The 20,218-nt window shown below is 54.1% G+C and overlaps 2 protein-coding genes and 1 long non-coding RNA gene across 7 annotated transcripts, besides 3 other annotated features; 1 reads left to right on the top strand and 2 right to left on the bottom strand.

Moving 5' to 3' along the window:
- Positions 1 to 568: 568 nt before the first annotated feature.
- LINC01391 (long intergenic non-protein coding RNA 1391) lies at positions 569 to 9,400 on the bottom strand. Its single transcript, NR_121649.1, has 3 exons — positions 9,346 to 9,400; positions 7,764 to 7,998; positions 569 to 3,816 (listed from the first exon to the last, which is right to left on the bottom strand). It is a non-coding gene; the product is annotated as a long intergenic non-protein coding RNA 1391 (long non-coding RNA).
- Positions 1,627 to 1,921: an enhancer, noted in NCBI's record as "tiled region #3980; K562 Activating DNase matched - State 1:Tss". NCBI's record gives its function as "activates a minimal TATA promoter and a strong SV40 promoter by Sharpr-MPRA in K562 cells {active_cell/tissue: K562}" and the evidence as "EXISTENCE:reporter gene assay evidence [ECO:0000049][PMID:27701403]".
- On the bottom strand, positions 9,604 to 12,517 carry FOXL2 (forkhead box L2). Its single transcript, NM_023067.4, has one exon. The coding sequence runs from the start codon at positions 12,100 to 12,102 to the stop codon at positions 10,972 to 10,974; it is 1,131 nt and encodes a 376-aa protein (NP_075555.1). The 5' UTR covers positions 12,103 to 12,517; the 3' UTR covers positions 9,604 to 10,971.
- Positions 9,903 to 10,492: an enhancer, noted in NCBI's record as "H3K4me1 hESC enhancer chr3:138663365-138663954 (GRCh37/hg19 assembly coordinates)". NCBI's record gives its function as "activates a minimal SCP1, AML or CMV promoter by ChIP-STARR-seq in naive H9 embryonic stem cells {active_cell/tissue: H9 hESC(naive)}" and the evidence as "EXISTENCE:reporter gene assay evidence [ECO:0000049][PMID:30033119]".
- Positions 12,533 to 12,761: a silencer, noted in NCBI's record as "fragment chr3:138665995-138666223 (GRCh37/hg19 assembly coordinates)". NCBI's record gives its function as "represses an EF-1alpha promoter that drives an FKBP-Casp9 reporter gene in an ReSE screen in HepG2 liver carcinoma cells {active_cell/tissue: HepG2}" and the evidence as "EXISTENCE:reporter gene assay evidence [ECO:0000049][PMID:32094911]".
- On the top strand, positions 12,597 to 19,370 carry FOXL2NB (FOXL2 neighbor). Of its 5 annotated transcripts, XM_005247443.4 has the most exons (4): positions 12,597 to 12,844; positions 13,305 to 13,387; positions 14,892 to 15,019; positions 15,645 to 19,370. In XM_005247443.4, exons 2-4 carry the CDS (start codon positions 13,365 to 13,367, stop codon positions 15,950 to 15,952), a joined length of 459 nt encoding a protein of 152 aa, XP_005247500.1. In that variant the 5' UTR covers positions 12,597 to 12,844; positions 13,305 to 13,364; the 3' UTR covers positions 15,953 to 19,370. The 5 variants fall into 5 exon arrangements, with proteins under 5 accessions (XP_005247500.1, NP_001035150.1, XP_024309286.1 ...); NM_001040061.3 differs by lacking the exon at positions 13,305 to 13,387 and having other exon boundaries at positions 14,900 to 15,019; XM_024453518.2 differs by lacking the exon at positions 15,645 to 19,370 and having other exon boundaries at positions 14,892 to 15,627.

The following is a 20,218-nucleotide window of genomic DNA, read 5'->3' on the forward strand; positions in this document are numbered from 1 at the left end:
GATACAGGGCTTTGGTCCTAGAAGCAGGCTAGGACAGCTCTTCAGACACATTGCTGGTTCCTGCCATCTTTCAAGATGTCCCTCTCACCACCCCAGCTACACTGGTCTCCAGCAGAGGGAGATGGCTGGCAGCAGGGGCTAGAAGGCCCTCTTCTAGGTCAAGGCAGTCCCTAATATCTGGGTGGATTTTTTGTGTCCTGAGAATGGGACCATGACTCTCTTTGTTAGGCTAGCAAAAGACTCAACATTGGCCAGGCATAGTGGCTCATGTCTGTAATCCCAACACTTTGGTAGGCTGAGGTGGGTAGATCTCTTGAGGTTAGGAGTTTGAGACCAGCCTGGCCAACATAGTGAAACCTCGTCTCTACTAGAAACACAAAAATTAGCTAGGTGTAGTGGCGGGCGCCTGTAATCCCAGCTACCCGGGAGGATGAGGCAGGAGAATTGCTTGAACCTGGGAGGCAGAAGTTGCAGTGAGCTGAGCTGGTGCCACTGCACTCCAAGCTGGACGACAGAATGAGACTTCATCTCAAAACAAACAAGAAAAGAACAACAACAACAAAAAATTAAAAAGAAAGGCTCAACATTTATTGATCAACTACTGATTATATGATTATATATTAACTGATCCAGACGGATCCAGAGAGTGTGGCTTAAGGAGACTTTCCTGGGCCTAAAACAGATAATTGGTGCTGGTGTATAACAAAATTATGGTTCATCCAAAGGATGGATTATTAAGCAATAATTGAAAATCATTTTTCAAAGAATAAGATATGGAGAAAAACCCTATGGCGAAAGGTTTAAACAAGCAGGATACAAAACTGCAAATTTTATGTATATTTGTTAATTATGGAAATTAGGCTTATTTTAATTGAAATATATAAATAAAAGACTGGAAAGATGCCATCGAAATGTTAACCATGGTTACCTTGTGGGAGGAGGGATGGGATTATTGTCGCGTTGGTGTTTTTTGTGCATTTTAATGTTTTATTTTCCCAATTTTCTTCAGTTTCAATTATCTTTGTGAGGGGAAAAGTGAAAATGTTAAAGTCCTAATACATAGCACTGGAAATGCATAGATATGATGACTGAGTAATTTTTACCCCACCCTGTCTAGAATGGATGCAGCAGGCAGAAGTGTCTCTTCGCCTCACTGCCTAAAGTTTATTTCAAGGGCAAGAATGGGGGCCTCTGGAATCAGTTCTGTCTCGGCAGAACCTGAGCTAGGCCTGTGCCGTGCGGGTAGGGAGCAGCCCCTTCCGGTCGTCGAGGCGCTCTTAATTTGGTTGGAGAGACAAGTGCACTACAAGAAACAGAGGCAGCCAAGCGCCTGGGCCACCATCAAGTAAGGTTGAAAAGGGGAGGGCAGGTAGATCGGGACCCGTGGGCGCCAATCAATGCTATGGTGGCGGAGAGTAAAGGGGACGAACACAGCCTGGGGCCATCCCCGGAGTCCCCCAGCGTCCGCCTGTGGCCGTGCCTGGTTGGCCGCGGATCCCGGCGGGCGCCGCAAAGCGGCGGGATTGCCAGCGCAGAGCTCCGGCTCTCTGCCTTGTCCCTGGGTCCGAGCACCGGAGCCTCTGGTGTCTGCGGGGAGAAGTCTCGGATTGAGAAATACGGGAGGGTCTCGTCAGTGGCTGCAGGTGCGGCAGCCACTCTGGGGACCCAGTGAGAATGGGGTCGCCTGGCTCTGCGCGAACCCCTCACGTGGGTGCAGCTCCTGAGCCGCCGAGGGAGGCGGTGGTAATGTCGCCCAGTGCCAGCAGAGGGCAGCCTCGAGGCCGTGAGCCCGAACGGCGACCTCGCCAAACCGCGGGCTCCCTTCCAGCTCCCGGATTCTGCGGGGTAGAGGCGGCCTTGGAGCCCAGAGACCAGCGACCTCAGTCTGCAGGAGCCCGGCGCAGAGGCCCAAGGGCACCCCCGGGATGTGGTCAAGCTACAGCCCTTAGGCAGCCTCACTCTGCGACGGCAAGGGCTTAGAGGGTGGAGGGGGACCAGATGCCTTAGGAGGGGTTAGAAAGCCAACGCACACAGGGAATTTGTTTTCAAGCAACAGATTCCAAGCATGTGGAAACCTTTTAAATGATGCTGGTGAGAGCTATGATAGTTTTCGCATTCTTGGCGAGGGAAGTCGGAGGCTAGTAGCGGGATGGCTCCTGGGCGCGCGGGAGACAGAGGGACCAGCGATCCTTGCTGGGGGCAGAGGGACTGTGGACCAAGGATCCAGACACACTTAATTGGGGATTCCAGTCCCGACTGTGGCCACTCAACTGGCGTTGAACTTGAGCAACTCACTATACCGCTCTAGCCTCCGACTAATCACTTCTGTAAAATGGGCATTGTGGGCTCCGAGTCTCGTAAGGGCGCTAGGGATTCGAGACAGCAGGAATTTCCTCACTGCTCCAGCAACCCTGGGTTCCTGGGTTTGTAGGTGGGCTGAAAGGATCCTTTCATCGCACGTTTGCCTGGCGTGGCTGCTTTAGAGACCGAGGCCCGCCAGGCTTTGCAACCCAGTTGCGCGTGGTCAGCCATGGCCTTGGAACCGCCGGGATCGCCTCAGCGGCACTCCGGCCAGCTCCCGACTTCCCGCCCTGGGCACTAGGGTCACCCAGCTCCAGAAGATAGTGCTTATCAGCACAGGAATTGAGACCCCACACCCGGCGCAGTGGGTCTCCCAGGAAGCCTGGCGAAGAGCCAAGGCCCGCCGGACCTGAGGTCGCCTGGGGCGCTAAACAGACCCATCTATGAGCACATTCGGCCAACACACCCAAGTTCAACAGTGGGCGGGATCTTTGGCTGGCCTCGATCTCTCTCACAGTGTGTGCAAACGGGTACCCATTAGATTCTTTTTGCTTGTTTCCTCATCTGTAAACTTTGAAAGGAGAGTATTTCCCGGGGTGATTCTGAAAATCATGCCAGAACTGAAAAGGCCTGTGTAAATGCGAGGTGTAATGATGACTTATTAGAAGCAGCCAGCCCTGTACGTGCCTGTAGGATAGATGCTAGAACGTTCTACAAATGTGTGCACATACACATCACGTATGTGTGAAGGTGCACACCTGTCCCTAGACACTTGACAAATGCACACACGTATGCGTGTACCTCTGGCTGAGAGCAAAGGGGCTAATACAGGGCTCATACAGGACATCATCCTGCAGTCTTGTGCGTGCACAGTACACACGCGAGCACGACTGTCTGTGCCTGGAGACACCGTATGGCACCGGAGGAGCTGCTCAGCCGTCGGTGCCACCTGGGAAGTAGGGTTTCGGGTGCTGCTCTGGAGCGCGGGAAAGTCCGGATCCGGGTCTGCTGGTCAGCGCTTCGGCGCCGCCGGGCTCCTTTATCTCTCATCCGCCGGCCGGTGAGCGGCTCCAGTTTCAAGACCCCCGATCCTGCCGGTGAGGGGAGGGAGCGAGAAGGAGTGCGCTCCGGGCCCAAGAGGCTGCAGGGCCCCACTCCCCAGGTCTGTCGTCCTTCCTTTATCTCCTCAGGTCACACCCCCACTTAAAATAAAGAAGGGTGCCTGACTCATTCAGGTCAGGGAAGTCGGCCCCCGGGAGCCTCCTGCCCTCACAAGCCATGGTGAAGGGAGGCGAAGCCAGGGTTTGCCACGGCCTGGGAGAAAATGCGGCTGCAGGGTCTCTTTGGGCTGCAGCGCTGGCCCGGGGCCCCAAGACTGTTAAGGTGTGTGTGGGAGGCGCGCAGTGTGGCTACCGAAGAGCCCTCCATCACCGCACCGGCAGGCCGCCGGGCTCGTCCTCCTCTCATGCTTCCAAGGGTTCTGAGCTGCGCAGCACTCGCATCACCCAGAAGTGTCTGTGGAGAAAACGACCTCAGGTGTAAGCCCAAGGCTGCTGCCTGCAAAGGCAATGCCGTGGAGACTGGGTTCCACAGCGACCTGGGTTTTTAAGTCACCGAAAGCTACAGGGCAGGGTCACAAACACTCTCCCGCCTTCTCTGCAGAACCGTGCGGCTGACAGGAGAGCGTTGCGCAGAAAATTCGAGGCCGGGCGCTGGAGGAGTCTCCGCGGCCCGGAGAAGGCACAGAGGCGCCCCTGAGAGGCGCAGCTGGAACAGGCGATGCACGGGTTCGGATCTGGCCGGCCAACCGAGCCCAGCGGTCGCGAAAACCAGAGTCGCCACAGAGGTTGAGCACGATTCCATTTCTGGGGATCGGGTCCGGTGGGGAGCCACTGTCCCTAACGCCTCCAGAGACTTTAAGTAGGACAATATAATGCTGGTAGGAGCAAGGTGCAAGGAATTTAGCGGCAGAAGCCTTTCGGGGGGGTGGGGAAAGGCAGATCCGTGCCTCGTCTGAGCCTGGGGGTGGGGACAGCCCCTGGCCTTGTAGCCCCTGTTCCGGGGATCAGCTGGGCCCACCTAACCCCCCTACATGGGGTTGAAAGGGGCCAATGGGACGGCCCCGCCGCCCCTCCCTCGGGATTCCACAGGGCCCTGACCCGGCCTTTATCTCTGCACGGTCAGCAGTCGCGGGGGCTTCAGGAAGGAGGACAAAGGCCCGGTGTCACCGCGGGCGGGGGCTCGGTTTCCTGGCTCTCTGCTCACACTCACAGCCTTTAGCGGTTGTTGGGGGAAGATTTTTAAAAATATGTGTCGAATTTCCTTTTTTTCTCTTCTAGAAACAAACAAACAAAAAAGGCAAAAGGCGAATTCCCCTTCACTCCTCGTCCATAGAGATTAAAGTTTCCTGGGATCCTGCCCTTTTTTTTTCTTTGACTGCCTAGAAATACTTGTTCTCCCTTGTACATAGAGGAAAATGCGGGGAAAGGTTTTTTAAAACTCGGTTTCATACTATTATTATTACTAAGGACAACCGGGCAGGCTGAGGTCCCAACGTGGATGATCCGAGTTGGCCTCGCGCCGGGGCTCTGCAGCCACTGCCCTGTGCGCTCAGCACCTCTGGGGGCGATCAGGGCCCCTGCGCTTCCGCCCGCCGCCCGGCAGTCGAGAGCACCCTGTGCCCAGACTGGCCGACTCATTCTCCCCCGAATTTTGTTTAGAGCTGGCAAGGGGGACTTAGCTCGCGCCCCAAGACCTGGGCTTGCAGCGCCGCCAACAGGCCCGGGGACACGAGGCGCTCCAGGCCGGGGTCTTCCCGGCTGCTGGCCCCTCTCGCTCCCCACCCGCTGGCGGCGCCTCGGTCGCCCGCAATTGACCCAACCCGCTTCCTGCGTTTGCCCCTCAGGTTTCCCGTTTCTCCACAAAGGCCTAGGGGAGCCTCGCCCACAGGCTGACCCTGCAACCTCTGGCCCGGTGGCTACCTTCTGCTTTTCTGAAAAAGAAAAGGAAAAAAAAAAAAAAAAAGAAAAAATCAACCAGTCGAGGGAGGCGCGTGAGGACTGGAGGCGCCAGCCGGACAGCCTATGAGTAGGTCCCTGGGTCGGTGCCGCTTCGCGGGTCAGCACGGCCTTTCTCAGAGAAAACCTCCTAAACGTGTGAAGACCGCTTTGGGGGAAGCGAGAGGGAGGTTGGAGGAGCCCCGGGCGGGGTCTCAGCGCCCACCAGCTGTGCCTTCAGGGCTTGGGTGTTCGCTGCAACGGCAACCGCGTGAGCCTCACTCCCACGGCCAAGGGGCTAGGGCAGGGTGGATGCAATCGCGTGCGCCTGGCCCCGGAAGGTGCTCGCAGGGGGTGCCTGTGGCCAGCTGGGTTAGGAAGTCAAATCCTAGAAAGTTATTACTAAAGGTTTTTTTTCCCCCTTCCTTTCTTCTTTCCTTTTTTGCTTCCTTCCTTCCTTTTTTTTTTTTAATAGGGGAAGGGAAAAAACATTATTGAACATCTACTATAAACTGGGCACTTAAAAATTAGAAAATTTAATTATTTTAATAATTCTGATACACGCACGTATTTCTGTTTTATAGAGGAGAACACTGAAATTTGAATGGGTATTTTGCCCAAGGTTACATAGCTGTTAAAGAGGACACCAGGCTCCAACCCAGTTCTTCCTGACTAAACAGGCCAGGTCTTTGCCTCATGCTGCACAGGCCACCTCCGCGAAGTGACAAGATCCCAGAACATGCTTTTCACAGCTCAGCACCAAGCCTGTGCGGCAAACAGCCTGTGCAGCAGCAGTTTCTGTGGTACAGAAACAAACAAAAAAGGCAAAAGGCACAGCTCAGACTGTGCTTCCTTCTTCTCCTGGGAGGCTCTCCCTTACTACTCCTGGGAGGCTCTCCCTTACTACGCAGCTCCCTTGAGCATCAGTGGCAGCTAGGCTCAGCTGCTGTCAAGTCTCCTTTAAAAATTTCGGAGGCCATTTGCCTCACAGATACCTGGAAGACCTCTGGTTGGTCTCTTCTCTTCTTAGGACCTGAGATTCCTCAAATGTAATGTAATTTTGGGTTCCTAGACCCAAGACACTCTTTTTATGACAGCTGGGAGTCCTCTCTCCAGAAAGTGGAAAGTTGCTAAGACTGCTCGGTTTTAAGAATCCTTAATTCCTGGTTGTCCCGAAGGCATGGGGCTCTTAGTCCCATCCTTTCCCCATCTTTTCTATGGGTCCCACAGTCTACTCCAAGAAGTAGGGGCTGCCACACAGTGGTGGTAGGCCTGACGGGCAGGGCCCCAGGGTCACCACCAGGTTAGATCTGCAGAATGGGGACACTGCAGGGATGCTGAGCCTGATCAAGATGTTTCCTGGCCTTAGACCCCCACCCAGAAGCCAGGAGTCTGGTCCGGTGATCCTGTCCATGAAGCCTGGCCCAGACCTTCATAAAGGGAAGAGCTCAGTTGAGAGCAAACTATCTTGGGCCAGACTCAGATTCCTGGCCCATATTCTGCTTGTCTGGCTGCATGAAGCCTGGGTCTGGCCCCAATTTCCACCCGCCGCCAGGGGGCTCCTTGCAGCCCCATCTCCAGCCTTGGCTTCCAGGAAACCCTGGCAAAGGCTGGATGCACCTAACCTCGGATGAAAGGTCCAGGGCCTCTTGCTCATCTAAGCCTCAGATCTGGAGCAGTGAACTATTTACTGATGCAAGCTGGAAACAGGACGTCAATACCCTCTGGAGTAGGGTACAGGACCATCTCCAGAACTCCGTAGGTCCCTTTCCCACAGTCCCTTGGTGCATGTACTTCAATGGCGAAGATTTCTCCAGGTCCCTCTTGAGAACAGGACACCTCCCCCTGCTTTCTCCAAACCAACCCACTTACTCTGACTGGGCAATTTTAGTGAGGTGGAGGTGACTCTAAGAATTTCTGTGTAAATGTGAGGAGAGGGCTCATACTGTCAGCAGTGTGTGAGATGTTTACACCCACCACACACATAATCTTCATGCAAGAACGACTCATTACCCAGGACATTCAGAAATTGGCTGGGTATTTGTATTAAACTCTATTTACATTGTATTTACACACTGGCCAATATATATACACACACTCACATGGCCCAGCCATCTAGGCCAGACTGTATATGCTAAGGCATAATTGCTATATAACTCAAATACTTTTGCCCTCAGGAATTGCTTAAATCAGCTTCTATAATAGAAACTCAAAAGTGCGAAGAGGGAGAGAAGAGAAAGGAAATGAGAGATGAAGAAAGCCTGCCATTGAACTAAACTTTCGGCCCTGGGGAAAATGACCAAACTTAAGAGCTTTGGAGAAATCCCGAGGGCTGGAGTTAGACAGATTTTTCCTGTGGGCATCCATGGGGAAGTGGGGTATGATTTGGCTCCCTTCTCTCACCTCCTTCAATCCCTGTGTAGACCCAGGAAACCCTCACTGATTGCTTCATTTTGTCTTCCTTACTTGGTGAGGCTGCTGCTCTCTTCCCAGCCTTGGGTGCCTTTTGCCTTTCAGTTCTCGGGGAGGAGACAGGCTGGTCCTTCATTGCTGGCCCCGGCCAACTTCTCCGTCTCACTGGAGGTGGGCTGCTACCTGCCCACCAGGGCTTGGTCCTGGAAGCTTCCCTCCCTTGCTTTCTCTGCTTGAGACGGCAGTTGGGGGAGTGCTGACAGCCAGCTTCAGAACAGGGAGCCTCTGCCTGATGAAGCAAAGGCTCTGTCCATATTACTTTATTTTTCAGCAAGCCAGGAATACACACCCACAAATGCACACATCACCAATGAGGTATGAATGCCACACACACTGTGGTCCCAGTAAGCACTTCCTAAGTGTTAGCCATATGATTATTACAATGCCAAAAATATATGCCCACTCTGCAGGCGAATGACAGACACACACACCTCCCACCCTGTCACCAATACACAACTGACACTGTACACACACATTTGCAGCAGATACAGACTACACAATTACTTGCCCATGGGCTAAATTTTCACGCTAGACAAAGCACAAACAGACATGCACACAGCAGGCTGCTTTCTGTTCTGCAACTCCCCTTAGCCAGATAGTGGAGCAGCCGGGCACCAAAGGCACCCAGACACCAGGCCTGACCAGCCTCTAGGGCTTCCTGCTCCAGCTGAGCCTCCCTCTCCATCCTGCTCCTGCCGGTTCCTGGTAAGCTCCAGTCCCAGTCTTGAGGTGATGCCCCCTGAGAATCCCCGTGGCTTGGTCTCCTGCCTTGTAGCCTCTCGCAGGATGCCTGTGGGGGGCGGGGGGCATTCTGAGCAGAAGCCACTTGGGCCCAACTATACATAACAGGATACCACCCTGAGGTTCCTACCGCCTGACCACTGGAGGGCTGAAGTGAGAGGCCTGCAGGCTCATTCCCGTGGCGCAAAACCGCTCCTGGCCCACCAGCCGGCCTGGACCTGCCGCCACATTGCTGGCCAGGCCCCGAGATAGACGGGGGGGGGGCAGTGAGGGCTGGGTGCGGGGTCTAGTCTCAGCTGAGCAGCAGCCCGCAAGAACCGGCGGATCTATCCTATCAGAAGTCGGAAGTCATCTATCCCATCAGAAGAGTGAAAGCCGACCACCCCCTAATCCGCCTGGGAGAACCAGACTGCAACCAGGTCAAACGCCTGTGTGCCTGCGCGGAAGCATGGATCTTAATTCGTTATTTGGGGATCTCAGTAAAGGAAGAGAGAGAAAGAAAAAAGACTAAATTTCTGCAGCCGCGAAGTATGTTCAATCCTTACTGAAACCTCCAAATCTCCTACCCATATCTCAAGGTAAATGAATTCTGACTATTAAAAATAATAAAGCAGTCACTTCTCACATTTGTACAGAGGTTAGCAGTTTGCAGCGCATTTCCACAACCAGAATTTTATCTATTAATGTTTGGAACAAACTCTTGGCTGTTATAGTTGACTCAAAATCGAAAAGTTTGAGAACAATAATAAAAACACAGCCAGCCCATACACCTAGTACAACTGTGTATGAGGTAGAATACAAACTTGAATAGGTACAAAAATAAACCAAGTCCTACCTACAGTCGCGCCTTGTGAACGAACCACGGCAGAAAAAGTCTTTCTGCTGACGTTAAACAGCCGCAACGGGCCAGTGATGACACAGAAAACAAACAATCCCAGGAAAACAAAGCAGCAGCGACAGCCACAAACGCCTGCCACCCCGGTTGCTCTCAATCTTTGTTTAACTCATTCTGAAAAAGATAAAATTTTGCTGAAAATCTTCCTCTTTTAACTAGCTGCTGAACTAAGGAGCGACAGAAATAAAGAAGTCCGTGTTAAAAGAAGGAACACAAAATTTATTCGGGAATCGACAAGGCAAAAAACAAAAACAAAACAAAAAAACACAACAAAAGTGCTCTAGTTCTCTCTAGAAAATTTGGTCCCCCAAACAACAAGCTACAGTACAACCAGGTCTATGGTTTTCGGGCCGGGCCGGCTCCGGGCCACAAGACCGCCTAGGTCGGCCGCTGCCGGGTTTCACATTTCTCCTTCCCAAGGTGGGAGAAGCAGGAGGTTTGAAAAACAAAAAGCAGGGAGGACGAGCCGTCCCAGCAGCGTGGGCCAGGCAGGCAGTGATCTCCCTGCCTCCAGGACTTGCATCGAAAGATCCGGGGACATTTGTTTTTGATTTTTTTCTTCAGATAGGGAGAGGGTGAAACTTCCCCAATTGGTAGACGAAACCATCTTTTATTGGATATATTCTCCTAACTCTGAACACAGCTTTTTGAAGGCCCAACAAAAACTCTAACGCAAATCTTCCAGAAGAGAAGATGAGGAATACTAAAGCTTTTGATTTTCATATTTGGATTTAGCAAACTCCAAGGCCACAATACTTCCCCGGTTGCCCGGTGAATTTTTTTTCCTTTTTTTTTTTTTAAATACTCTCTTAAAAAGTTCCACCGATCTTTCAAACAAAACATTAGCCAGCCGCCGGGGCCCGGAGGTGCCCGAAGCGACGGGACTGATAGCGGAGGAAACGCAGCCTCCCTCCGCGCCCGCCCGCGGTGTAAACCGAGTACAGGCCGTGGAGCCAGGCTGCCCCGGCTCCCGCTGGGTCCCAACCCCCGCCCCGCCTAGTGGGCCCCGCGGCAAGCGGCTTCTGAACAGCTTCAAGAGGGTTCGCGGAGCAAACACACGTATTGGTCCGTCCCTTTCTCGGGCAGCGCGGTCCCGCCATCAGTCCTGTCCGGCGCGTCTAGCCATGGACTGCACGGCAGTCGGGCGGGGAACGCGGAGAGCGAGCGCACCGACCTGTGAGAGAAGGCCAAGAGGTCTGCGCTGCCGACGCCCGGTCGCACCTCCGCCCCGGGCCCTTTCCGCGGTGAATTTGGGCAGGAGACGCTGGGGCTCCGGAAAGAGACGAGCCCAGTAGAAAGCGCGCAGAGAGGCAGCTTCAGGCCAGGGGAGTGCAAGGTCACAGAGGTCAGGGAGGTGAGCACAGGAGGACATAAACTGAGGGGACAAAGAGGAGCGACAGGAGCTTAGGAAAGCGAAAAAGCACAGAGGGACCCTGGGCGCTGGCTCCAGAGGCGGGCCCAGAGGGTGTGAGGTCAGGCTGGCGGCGGCGTCGTCGGCTGCGACCGGGGCCGGCGTCGCGCGTCCCTGCATCCTCGCATCCGTCTGCACCGGCATGCGGTGGGCTCTCAGAGATCGAGGCGCGAATGCAGCGCGCCGGTCTTGCTGTCGTGGTCCCAGTAAGAGCAATGCATCATGGCGAGCTCGGGCTGCCGGGCACAAGCGAACTGCAGGCCCGGCGCACTGGTGGGCGCGGGCGCCGGGGGCGCGGCGGTGGCTGGGCTGGCAGGGCTGAGCTGGCCCGGCGGCGGCGCGGCGGCCCCGTGGTGCGGTGGGGCAGGCGGCGGTGCGGCGGCCGCGTGCAGATGGTGTGCGTGCGGATGCGGGTGGGGGTGCGGCGGAGGCGGGGGTGCGGCCGGCGGGCCTCCCAGGCCATTGTACGAGTTCACTACGCCGGGGGGCAGCGCCATGCTCTGCACGCGTGTGTACGGCCCGTACGAGGCGGCCGGGCCCGCCAGCCCCTTGACCACAGCGGCCGCGCCAGGGCTACCGGGGCCCGCGGCTGCAGCCGCAGCTGCTGCAGCCGCTGCGGCTGCCGCCATCTGGCAGGAGGCATAGGGCATGGGTGAGGGAGGCTGCGGTAGCGGCCACGAGTTGTTGAGGAAGCCAGACTGCAGGTACTTGGGGGGCGCCAGGTAGCCGTAGCCGTCGGCCCCGGCGCCCGCCACGCCGCACCCGCCTGCGGCGCCTCCGGCCCCGAAGAGCCCCTTGCCGGGCTGGAAGTGCGCGGGCGGCGGCCGGAAGGGCCTCTTCATGCGGCGGCGGCGCCGGTAGTTGCCCTTCTCGAACATGTCTTCGCAGGCCGGGTCCAGCGTCCAGTAGTTGCCCTTGCGCTCGCCGCCGCCCTCGCGCGGCACCTTGATGAAGCACTCGTTGAGGCTGAGGTTGTGGCGGATGCTATTTTGCCAGCCCTTCTTATTCTTCTCGTAGAACGGGAACTTCGCGATGATGTACTGGTAGATGCCGGACAGCGTGAGCCTCTTCTCCGCGCTCTCGCGGATCGCCATGGCGATGAGCGCCACGTACGAGTACGGGGGCTTCTGCGCCGGGTCCGGCTTCTCCGGGGCTGTCCCGCCGCCACCCCCACCGCCCTTGCCTGGGCTCGGCGGCGGCCCTTCTGGCTCCTTGACTGTGCGACCGGTCTCTGGGGCCAGCAGGGCCCCCGCCGCGTCCTCGGGCTCGGGGTAGCTGGCCATCATGACAAAGCCGGCGCGCCGCGGCCGGGCCGCCTCTGCTCTCCGCTCCAGGCGCTGGCGCGGCAAAGAGTTGGGGCGCACGAGTCCGCTTACGGCCAAGTCTCAAACTTCTGGAGACTGCGGATGCCGCCCGCGCTTGCTTGCTGGAGGCCTGTCGCTGCTCTCCCCTCTCCTTCCCCTTCCCCTAGGGAGCGGCCGGCGGGAGTGGAGCTCAGCCTCTGGCCATGGGGAGTCCGCCCAACAGAGAGGGGCTCCGGCCTCGCCGCCCCTCCCCGCTCAGGCCAGTCCCCGCCTTGGTGGGTTTTCTTTTCTGCGCTCTTCCCCTCCCCCCGCCCCCCGGTTTCCCGAAGCACGACCCGCGTCTCTGGCGGAGCTGCCTCCTGGAGTCCCTAGTGCGCCAGGAGCCTCGCTCTGTTCTGATTCGTATGGGCTCCACCGAGTTCCGCTTGCGTCAGGCGCCTTCGCCCCTATAGCGGGGCGGCCAGCCGCGCACGGGCGAGTTCATCTCCAAGTCACTTTTTGTAAACGCCCCGCACAGCCTGGACCGGCCTGCCCCCGCCCAGCGAGCCTCAGGGGCCCAGCCGACAGCCAGGCTCACGCGCCCTTGAAATCTGCCGGTACTCGCTCTGCGGGCTGGGCTGGGAGATGACGAGGACCCCGGTGGGGTCTGCCCGCACCCGGCCAAAGCCCAGGAAGCTCGGGCCCCAGCGAGGAAAGGCGCTCCAAGCCTCCTCGCGGCTTTCAGGTGAAAGAAAACGACTCCTTTGCTCTGCCGTTTGCTGCCGTCTTGAGGCTGAACTTCTAGCTCGGGGCTGGGGAGGGGCGAGACGGCGAGGGGGCTGGACGGGGTAGGGTGGGGAGAGCTGCTCTGAGGCTTTGGGAAAGTCAGCCCAGAAACGGGTGTGACTGTACGAAGAAGCCTCGGCCTGGCCTGTCCCTCGCGCTCTCAGAGTGACTGGGCTGGAATGGGGCAGGGGAGAGGATCTCTGGAAATAGTCGTCAGGGGCGCCGCCTGAATCACCTCTGCCTCTCCCTGCGTTACCAGTGGATCTAGGAACCAGGAATCCGTGTACTAATCCTACGGGGTTGGAGTGAAGGTTGGATGTGTGCTTTAACAGCACCAAGTAGATGCCCCTCAGCTATTGCACTAACACAGGCGGGGCTGTTGCCCGGGACTTTGCGGGACTGTGTATGTGTGTGCACAGGGGTCACATATGGAAGTCATGGAGAGGAGCTGTCCTTGAGATGGGTGAGATACCAGGTGCATGTGTGCTGCTCAGAAACACAGGTATGCACATGTACAAGGTGTGAGATTTGTATTTACGAGGTAAAACACACTTATACTGATAGTTATGTAATATGTTCATCAAGTATTAGAGTAAATGTAGCTGGTGGATATAGCATCTTCTCTTTTTCTCCTTTCTTACTTCTTTCCTTCCCCCCTTTCTTCCTTTCTTTCACAATTCTTCGATGCCTCTTTCCCTCCCAGTGTATGTATTTTGCCACAGACTGGGAAGACAAACATCAGGCTGAGGGAGGGACTTGTTCAAATCTCTCTCCTGATGAGACATTTGTTCTGATCTTTCTCCAAAGAATCAGGAGTTAGTTGTCACCTACCTTAAGCAGAATTCTGATGGGAATCCAATTATTTCAGCATGTACAGAGATTGTTTCAGGGAAAATCAGGTGTGCCTTTTAACAGTGTGCTCCTTAACAGTGCCTTTTAACTTGGCCTAAACAAAAAGTCTGCAGTCATAAAGTATGAGAGAGATGGCCAGTGTTTTGAATCCTCAAGCCCCAAACTCCTTGGTGCTGAGGAGGGGGGCAAGGCCACCTTATGGAGGAAGGTGGACTGAATGGATGTCATATAGCTGTGCATTAGTGATTGGCATGTCTGGAGTGGCTGACTCAATGCCTGTCACTGCCTCTTCCTCCCAGGCTGTTTAGACTCTGAGGGTTCTCCTGAAGCCCAAGGAGCCTTCAGCGGCCTGTGGTTCCAGCATCCACAGGCCATCTACAAGTGTTGTCTGCTGCTCACTCAGGCCTCTGATCTGCATTCTGAGATGAAAGGGAGGGAGGACAAGGGTGGTAGGGCTCTTTGGAATTCAGCATCTTGAAGATGACACCAGAGAGGTCAGCAGGGCAGCCCTTGCCTGGTCACAAGGATGAGAGGGAGCAAGGCTATCCCCAAAGTAGCTTGGTTTTTTTTATGGGCGGTCTCCCACTGCACCCAACAGACATGGGGGAAGCAGCACTTCCGCAGAATCCCTGCTGCTGCTTTCTGAGCAGGAGTGCAGATGTTTTTCTTCTTCCTTACCCCCATCCTTGCCCAAGCTTTGGGTGGGAGTGGTGAGTCCGGTTTGGGGCTGCTGCAGATTGGCCTCAGTGCCTATCCTCCCCCAGCCAGGGCCTGGGCAGGGGGAAAAACAGCTGGGTCTGGCCCCATCCTGGTGGGGGCTCCTCTCTCCTTTTCTCTCCTTTTTTTTTTTCTTGACCACCCAGGCTGGCTCTCTGCGTCTCTCTGTCTTTCTTTCTTCTTCTCACAGGCATTTCCGCTGCTCAGCCCTGCAGCAGCCAGGTGTAACAGCATTGTTGTGTGTGTCATCACTTCCCTGAATTCCACACTCGGCTCCCTTTTCAGCCTTTAAAGAGCCTGTGTGTGTATGCATGTGCGTGTGTGTGTGTGTGTGTGTGTGTGTAGGGGTTGGGGGCAAATGAAGGAGTTCCTCTGAAGGATTTTCAGAATAGAAAGGAGTTCTGCTCTGAAAATACTGATTTCTGACTGTCCCGTAGAGGAACAGAATCCCCAGCCCTGGTGAAGAAGAGGATGCCTGATGCGTGCACCCTGGGAAGGGCTGGAATCGGTCTCCCCAAGATGTGCCTTCACATGGCTGTCCGGCATTCGAAGGCTCAGAAAACAGGCAAGAAAATGCGGGCGGGAAAGCTGGCAGAATGATTACTTTCAGGTCCCCTCCAGGCTTCTGCGGAAAAGCCAGGGGCTTCGGGCTGGAGATAGAGGAATCTAGGGAGAGAACAGAATCCTCTCCTTGCCGGCCCAGCCAGAGGTGGGTGAACCGGGCGCTCCAGGAAACGGTGCGGGGCGCCCTGATTTACTTCTCAACCTTCGGAGGTAGGCTGGTTGCTGGCGAGGTCGGGATCCTCTCTGAACAGGGCATACTGTGCCTAGGTTTTGTGGACGCCAGGGCCGGTTCCTTTTCTCCCCGCGGCATTGGGGCGACGCAGGGCCCCCGGCTTAGTGACCTTGGGGCGGCGCTCACCTCCAAAGGCCAGGGTGGTGGGCTGGGCAGAACTCACTGCCTCTTTGCCCCAGTTTTCCAGGGTCCCGCAGCTGCAATTCAGCAGCCACCGGCGCCTCCTGACCGTGGTCCCACCGTAGCGCCGCCTGCGGATACGGTTCCAGTGAACCGCCGATTGAGCGCAGTCTCAGCTCCCGCGCCTCCTCGCAGCCTGGCCCCGCGCCTCGGAGGTCCCGACAGCCGGCGCGAGCAATCTACACGGCTCTGATACAGACGCTTTTCTCCCCAGGGCCGGGAATCCTGCAACAGCGGCAGAAGCCGCCCGCGCCTCGGGCTTCCGGCGGCCCAGCTCTACTAGGGAAGCGTCGCGGCTGCTCTGAGGCAGGCAGCGCTTCGCTAGAACCACTCAGCTCGTCCCGCGCCGCCGCCGGCTGCCTGAACCAGGTTCCGCTGTCCCCTTTCCTAGCGGGACCCCGAAACACCCGGCGGCTTCCCGCTCCTGAGCGGGAGAGAATAGAGCTTGCTGCAACCCTCTGCTTGGAGGGATGGCCTCTGCGGTGCTTGGCTAGCAAAGGGAAGCTTCACTGTGTCTATTAGTACATCCCCATACACTCCACGCCTCAACAACTGTCAGCACTCACTCCCTCCCGGCCCCTCACAGGGCCCTTTGCACCCACACCTCAGGGACTCGGTGTCCCTCCACTCAGGTCACGTTACTCCATCCACTTCTCTCTCCTTCTCCCTCTGTCAACTCCAAATCCCCTCTAGTTCTCCCTCCCCTCCTACTTCTCTCACACTCACCAGCTACACGTACTAATTCAGATTTTGCACATGTTGGTGGAAAACATGTCAAGCCAATGTGCAGACCCTAAGGCTTTTCACACGCTGCTCACTTTCGCATCTCACGGTGCAGAAGGACCAATGGGCTCCAGGTTTACAAGCCTGACTCCGAGAAGCCTGTTGATTCTCTGATGTCCTTGGCCTGTGATTCGGGTGACTGGGCTGCCACCTGGGTGTTTTCATGATGGGACTGCCGCACAGACCACAGAGAAGCTCAGGTACTGAGCACGTTCCAGATACACTTTAACATGCACAGGCCACTCACACAGGCTTTATCTCTGTCTCGAAACTCTGCTGAGTTTGCTGCTCAGACCAACAAGGTGCAGCAGCAGACACCCACATAGCACCAGGTCTGAAGCCAGTGGGTATTAGTCTGCCTGGTTGGGATTAGCAAAGTCAGTTACTCACATATGTGCTTGGGAGAGAATAGGGGAGTGGAGAGAGAGAGAGAGATATTGAGGAAGAGGAAAGAGAAGCGACCTCCTACTCTGGGAAGAACTCACACATGAGAGCTGTTTCCTGTTGTTAAGTGTCTCACTGAGCTCCCCTCTTTCTCCCCCAGGAAGGGCTTGAGAGGCAGTAGACCAGAGCTCTGGGCTCCTCTTTACCTTGCTGATGTTGGGGTATGAGTCCTCCAACACCATTTTGTCCCAAGGAGTATGTGCCCCATCGTCAATCAGGCAGAATGCAGGGCAGTTGTCGGCCTTTTTCATGGTGGAGGCCAACTGGGAAAAAGGCAGAAGGGTCTGGGTCCTGGGCCAAGTGAGGCCCTCTTCCCTCCAAAGACCCGTGGGATGCTCTCAGAGGCGGATTCTAGGGTGGTGGGAGCTGCTGACAAGTTTCCTCTGATATCCCTCATGACATCTATGGCCCAAAGCCATTTTGTTCAGCTCTGAACAGTGAGTGCCTTGCCAGTAGGCCTCAGGCTTGCTGGGGAACATGATGTGTTCTTAAAAGTTGCCTTGTTGCCTTTCTCCACACCCAGACTGTAAGCGCTGATGGGCAGAGACTCTGCCCTCCACTTCTCACTCAGTGCTCCCCACCAGGATGGGCTTAATGCCTTTTAATAGAATTAGAAAATGGTTCTGCTGGACAGAATTGGGAAATGCCACTTTCCTTATAATGAAGTTATAATGAAGTTAGAATTTCCAAGAAAGGGACTGTAGCTGAGGAAAAGCGGTTTGATCATTGACAGCCAGCTCAGGATCTGAGAGTTCTTTGCCATTTGGGGTTATTATAGCTGCATGGCCATGGTGCTGAACCTTAGGCAAGGGCAAGGACACCTCCCTAGTTCCCAGTCATGGTGAGGACCTGTCTGAAACATTCAAACTAGACTTTACTGGAAACAGAGAAGTCTCTGCATTCAGGGCAGCTGGCTTGCAAGGTAAGGCCTGCAGTCTCCACCCGCACGCTAACCCATGAGGGGATGCCAGAGAGAGCCCTTCCCCCTTGGTCCTCATTCCTGGCTCAATTTTCTCCCACAAAGCGGGCACTTTCTAAAGATGATAGGCAACTGCCATGGAGGAAGGCAGTTTTAGATGCCTAGCTGGCACAAAGTCCAGAGGAAGGGAGGGAGAAGGGCTGAGTTTTGTATTACTGTTCTACCTTTGGAGATTTTCCTCATGCCAAGATAGGGTGTGTGTGTGTGTGTGTGTGTATGTGTGTGTGTATGTGTGCACTATAACTTTATGAAACACTTTTTTTTTTTTTGAGACAGGGTCTCACTCTGTTGCCCAAGCTGGAGTGCAGTGGTGCAATCTTGGCTTACCGCAGTCTCCACCTCCCAGGCTCAAGTGATCCTCCCATCTCAGCCTCAGCCTCCCAAGTAGCTGGGACTATGGGTGTGAGCCAACACACTCAGCTAATTTTTTTTTTTTTTTTTTGGTATTTTTGGTAGAGACAGGGTTTTACCATGTGGGCCCAACTGGTCTTGAGCTCCTGAGCTCAGGGTGATTTGCCTGCTTCAACTTCCCAAAGTGTTGGGATTACAGGTGTGAGCCACCATGCCCAGTCAGTTTTTTATTTTTTATTTAAACAGTTTTGGGGGAACAGGTGGTTTTTGCTTACATGGATAAGTTCTTTAATGGTAATTTCTGAGATTTTGGTGCACTTGTCACCCGAGCATTGTACACGGTACCCAGTGTGTAATCTTTTATCCCTCATCCCCCTCCTACGCTTCCCCCCCCGAGTCCCCATTATATAATTCTTTTTTTCTTCTTTTTGAGACAGAGTCTCACTCTGTTGCCCAGGCTGGAGTGCAGTGGCATGAACTTGGCTTACTGCAGCCTCCTGAGTTCAAGTGATTCTCCTGCCTGAACCTCCTGTGTAGCTGGGACTACAGGCATGCACCACCATGCCCAGCTAATTTTTGTATTTTTTGTAGAGATGGGGTTTCACCATGTTGGCCAGGCTAGTCTTGAACTCCTAACCTCAAGTGATCTGCCTATTTTGGCCTCCCAAAGTGTTGGGATTACAGGCGTGCGCCACTGCGCCTGGTCCATTATGTCATTCTTATGCCTTTGCATCTTCATAGCTTAGCTCCCACTTATAAATGAAAACACAGGATATTTGGTTTTCCATACTTGAGTTACTTCACTTAGTATAATGGTCTCCAGCTCCATCCAGGTTGCTGTGAATGCCATTATTTTGTTCCTTTTTATGGCTGAGTAGTATTCCATGGTGTATATATATCACATTTTCTTTATCCACTCATTGGTTGATGGGCATTTAGCCTTGTTCCATATTTTTGTATGCAGTATAACTTACAGATGGTAAACAATATACAGCTTGATGTATTCTGACATGTAATGCAGTATGTAACCACCACCTGGATCAAGATATGGAGCATTTCTGGCACTTCAGAAGGTTCCTTCATATCTTTTTCCAATCAATATTGCCTCAAAAGGGAAACCATATTTGGATTTCTATCACCATAAATAACCTTTGCCTGCCTTGAGCCTCGTATAAATGGAGCATATAGCATGTATGCCTTTATGTCTAGTTTTTTCTGTGCAACATATTTTTAATATTCACTGGTCTTGTTGCATGTGTCAGACATTTATTTCTTTTTATTGCTGTGTAATATTCTAGTATTTGCTTATCCATCCATATGTTGAGGGACATTTGTTTCCAGTTTTTGGATATCATAAATAAAGCTGCTGTGCACATTGTTGTACATGTCTTTTTGTGAAGGGTATTTTACTACTCTTGAGTGAACTGTAGGAGTAGGCATATATTTAGTTTCAATAGATTCAGTCAAACAGTTTCCAAAGTGATAAAACCAAATACAGTGATATACAGATAGACAGACATACTTTAACAGGGCCTTTCCCTTATAGATAGCATTCTCTAAAAACCACTATTTAGCTGCACTTGTTATTACTGTTGTTATAAATGGAAAAAACAGCTTTTTTGTTTTTTGGTTTTTGTTGCACAAGGTCTCACTCTGTCACCCAGGCTGGAGTGCAGTGGCGTGATCGTGGCTCACTGCAGCCTTGACCTCCTGGGCTCCGCCTCCTGAATAGCTGGGACTACAGGTGCTCACTGCCGTACCCAACTAATTTATGTATTTTTTGTAGAGATAGGGTTTCGCTGTGTTGCCCAGGCTGGTCTCGAACTCCTGGGTTCAGACAGTCCTCCCATCTCAGCCTCCCAAAATACTGGGATTACAGGCATGAGCTACCACACCTGGCCAAAAAAATAGCCATCCTTTATTAAGCAGTTATTTTGTGCCAGGAACATTACATGCATTATCTCATTTCATTTTTATGAGAAACCTAAGGGATTGGTACTATTCCCATTTTACACTTGAGGAACCTGAGGCTCAGAGAGGGTGAGTAACTTGCCAAAGGCCCCTGGCTGATAAGTGACCACTTGACTGTGGGCTCTGAATTTCACTTCCGTACATGTACCTCTGTTTGTTCCCGTGAGGTCAGGAAGTTCTCCCTTCCATCTGAGCAAATCTAGCTGCCGGGTAAGAGACTCATTTCCTATCAACCTGTAGTCCTCTCTGCATACCTTCTC

The sequence above is a fragment of the Homo sapiens genome, chromosome 3 (assembly GCF_000001405.40).
Source record: "Homo sapiens chromosome 3, GRCh38.p14 Primary Assembly".
Taxonomy (NCBI): domain Eukaryota; kingdom Metazoa; phylum Chordata; class Mammalia; order Primates; family Hominidae; genus Homo; species Homo sapiens.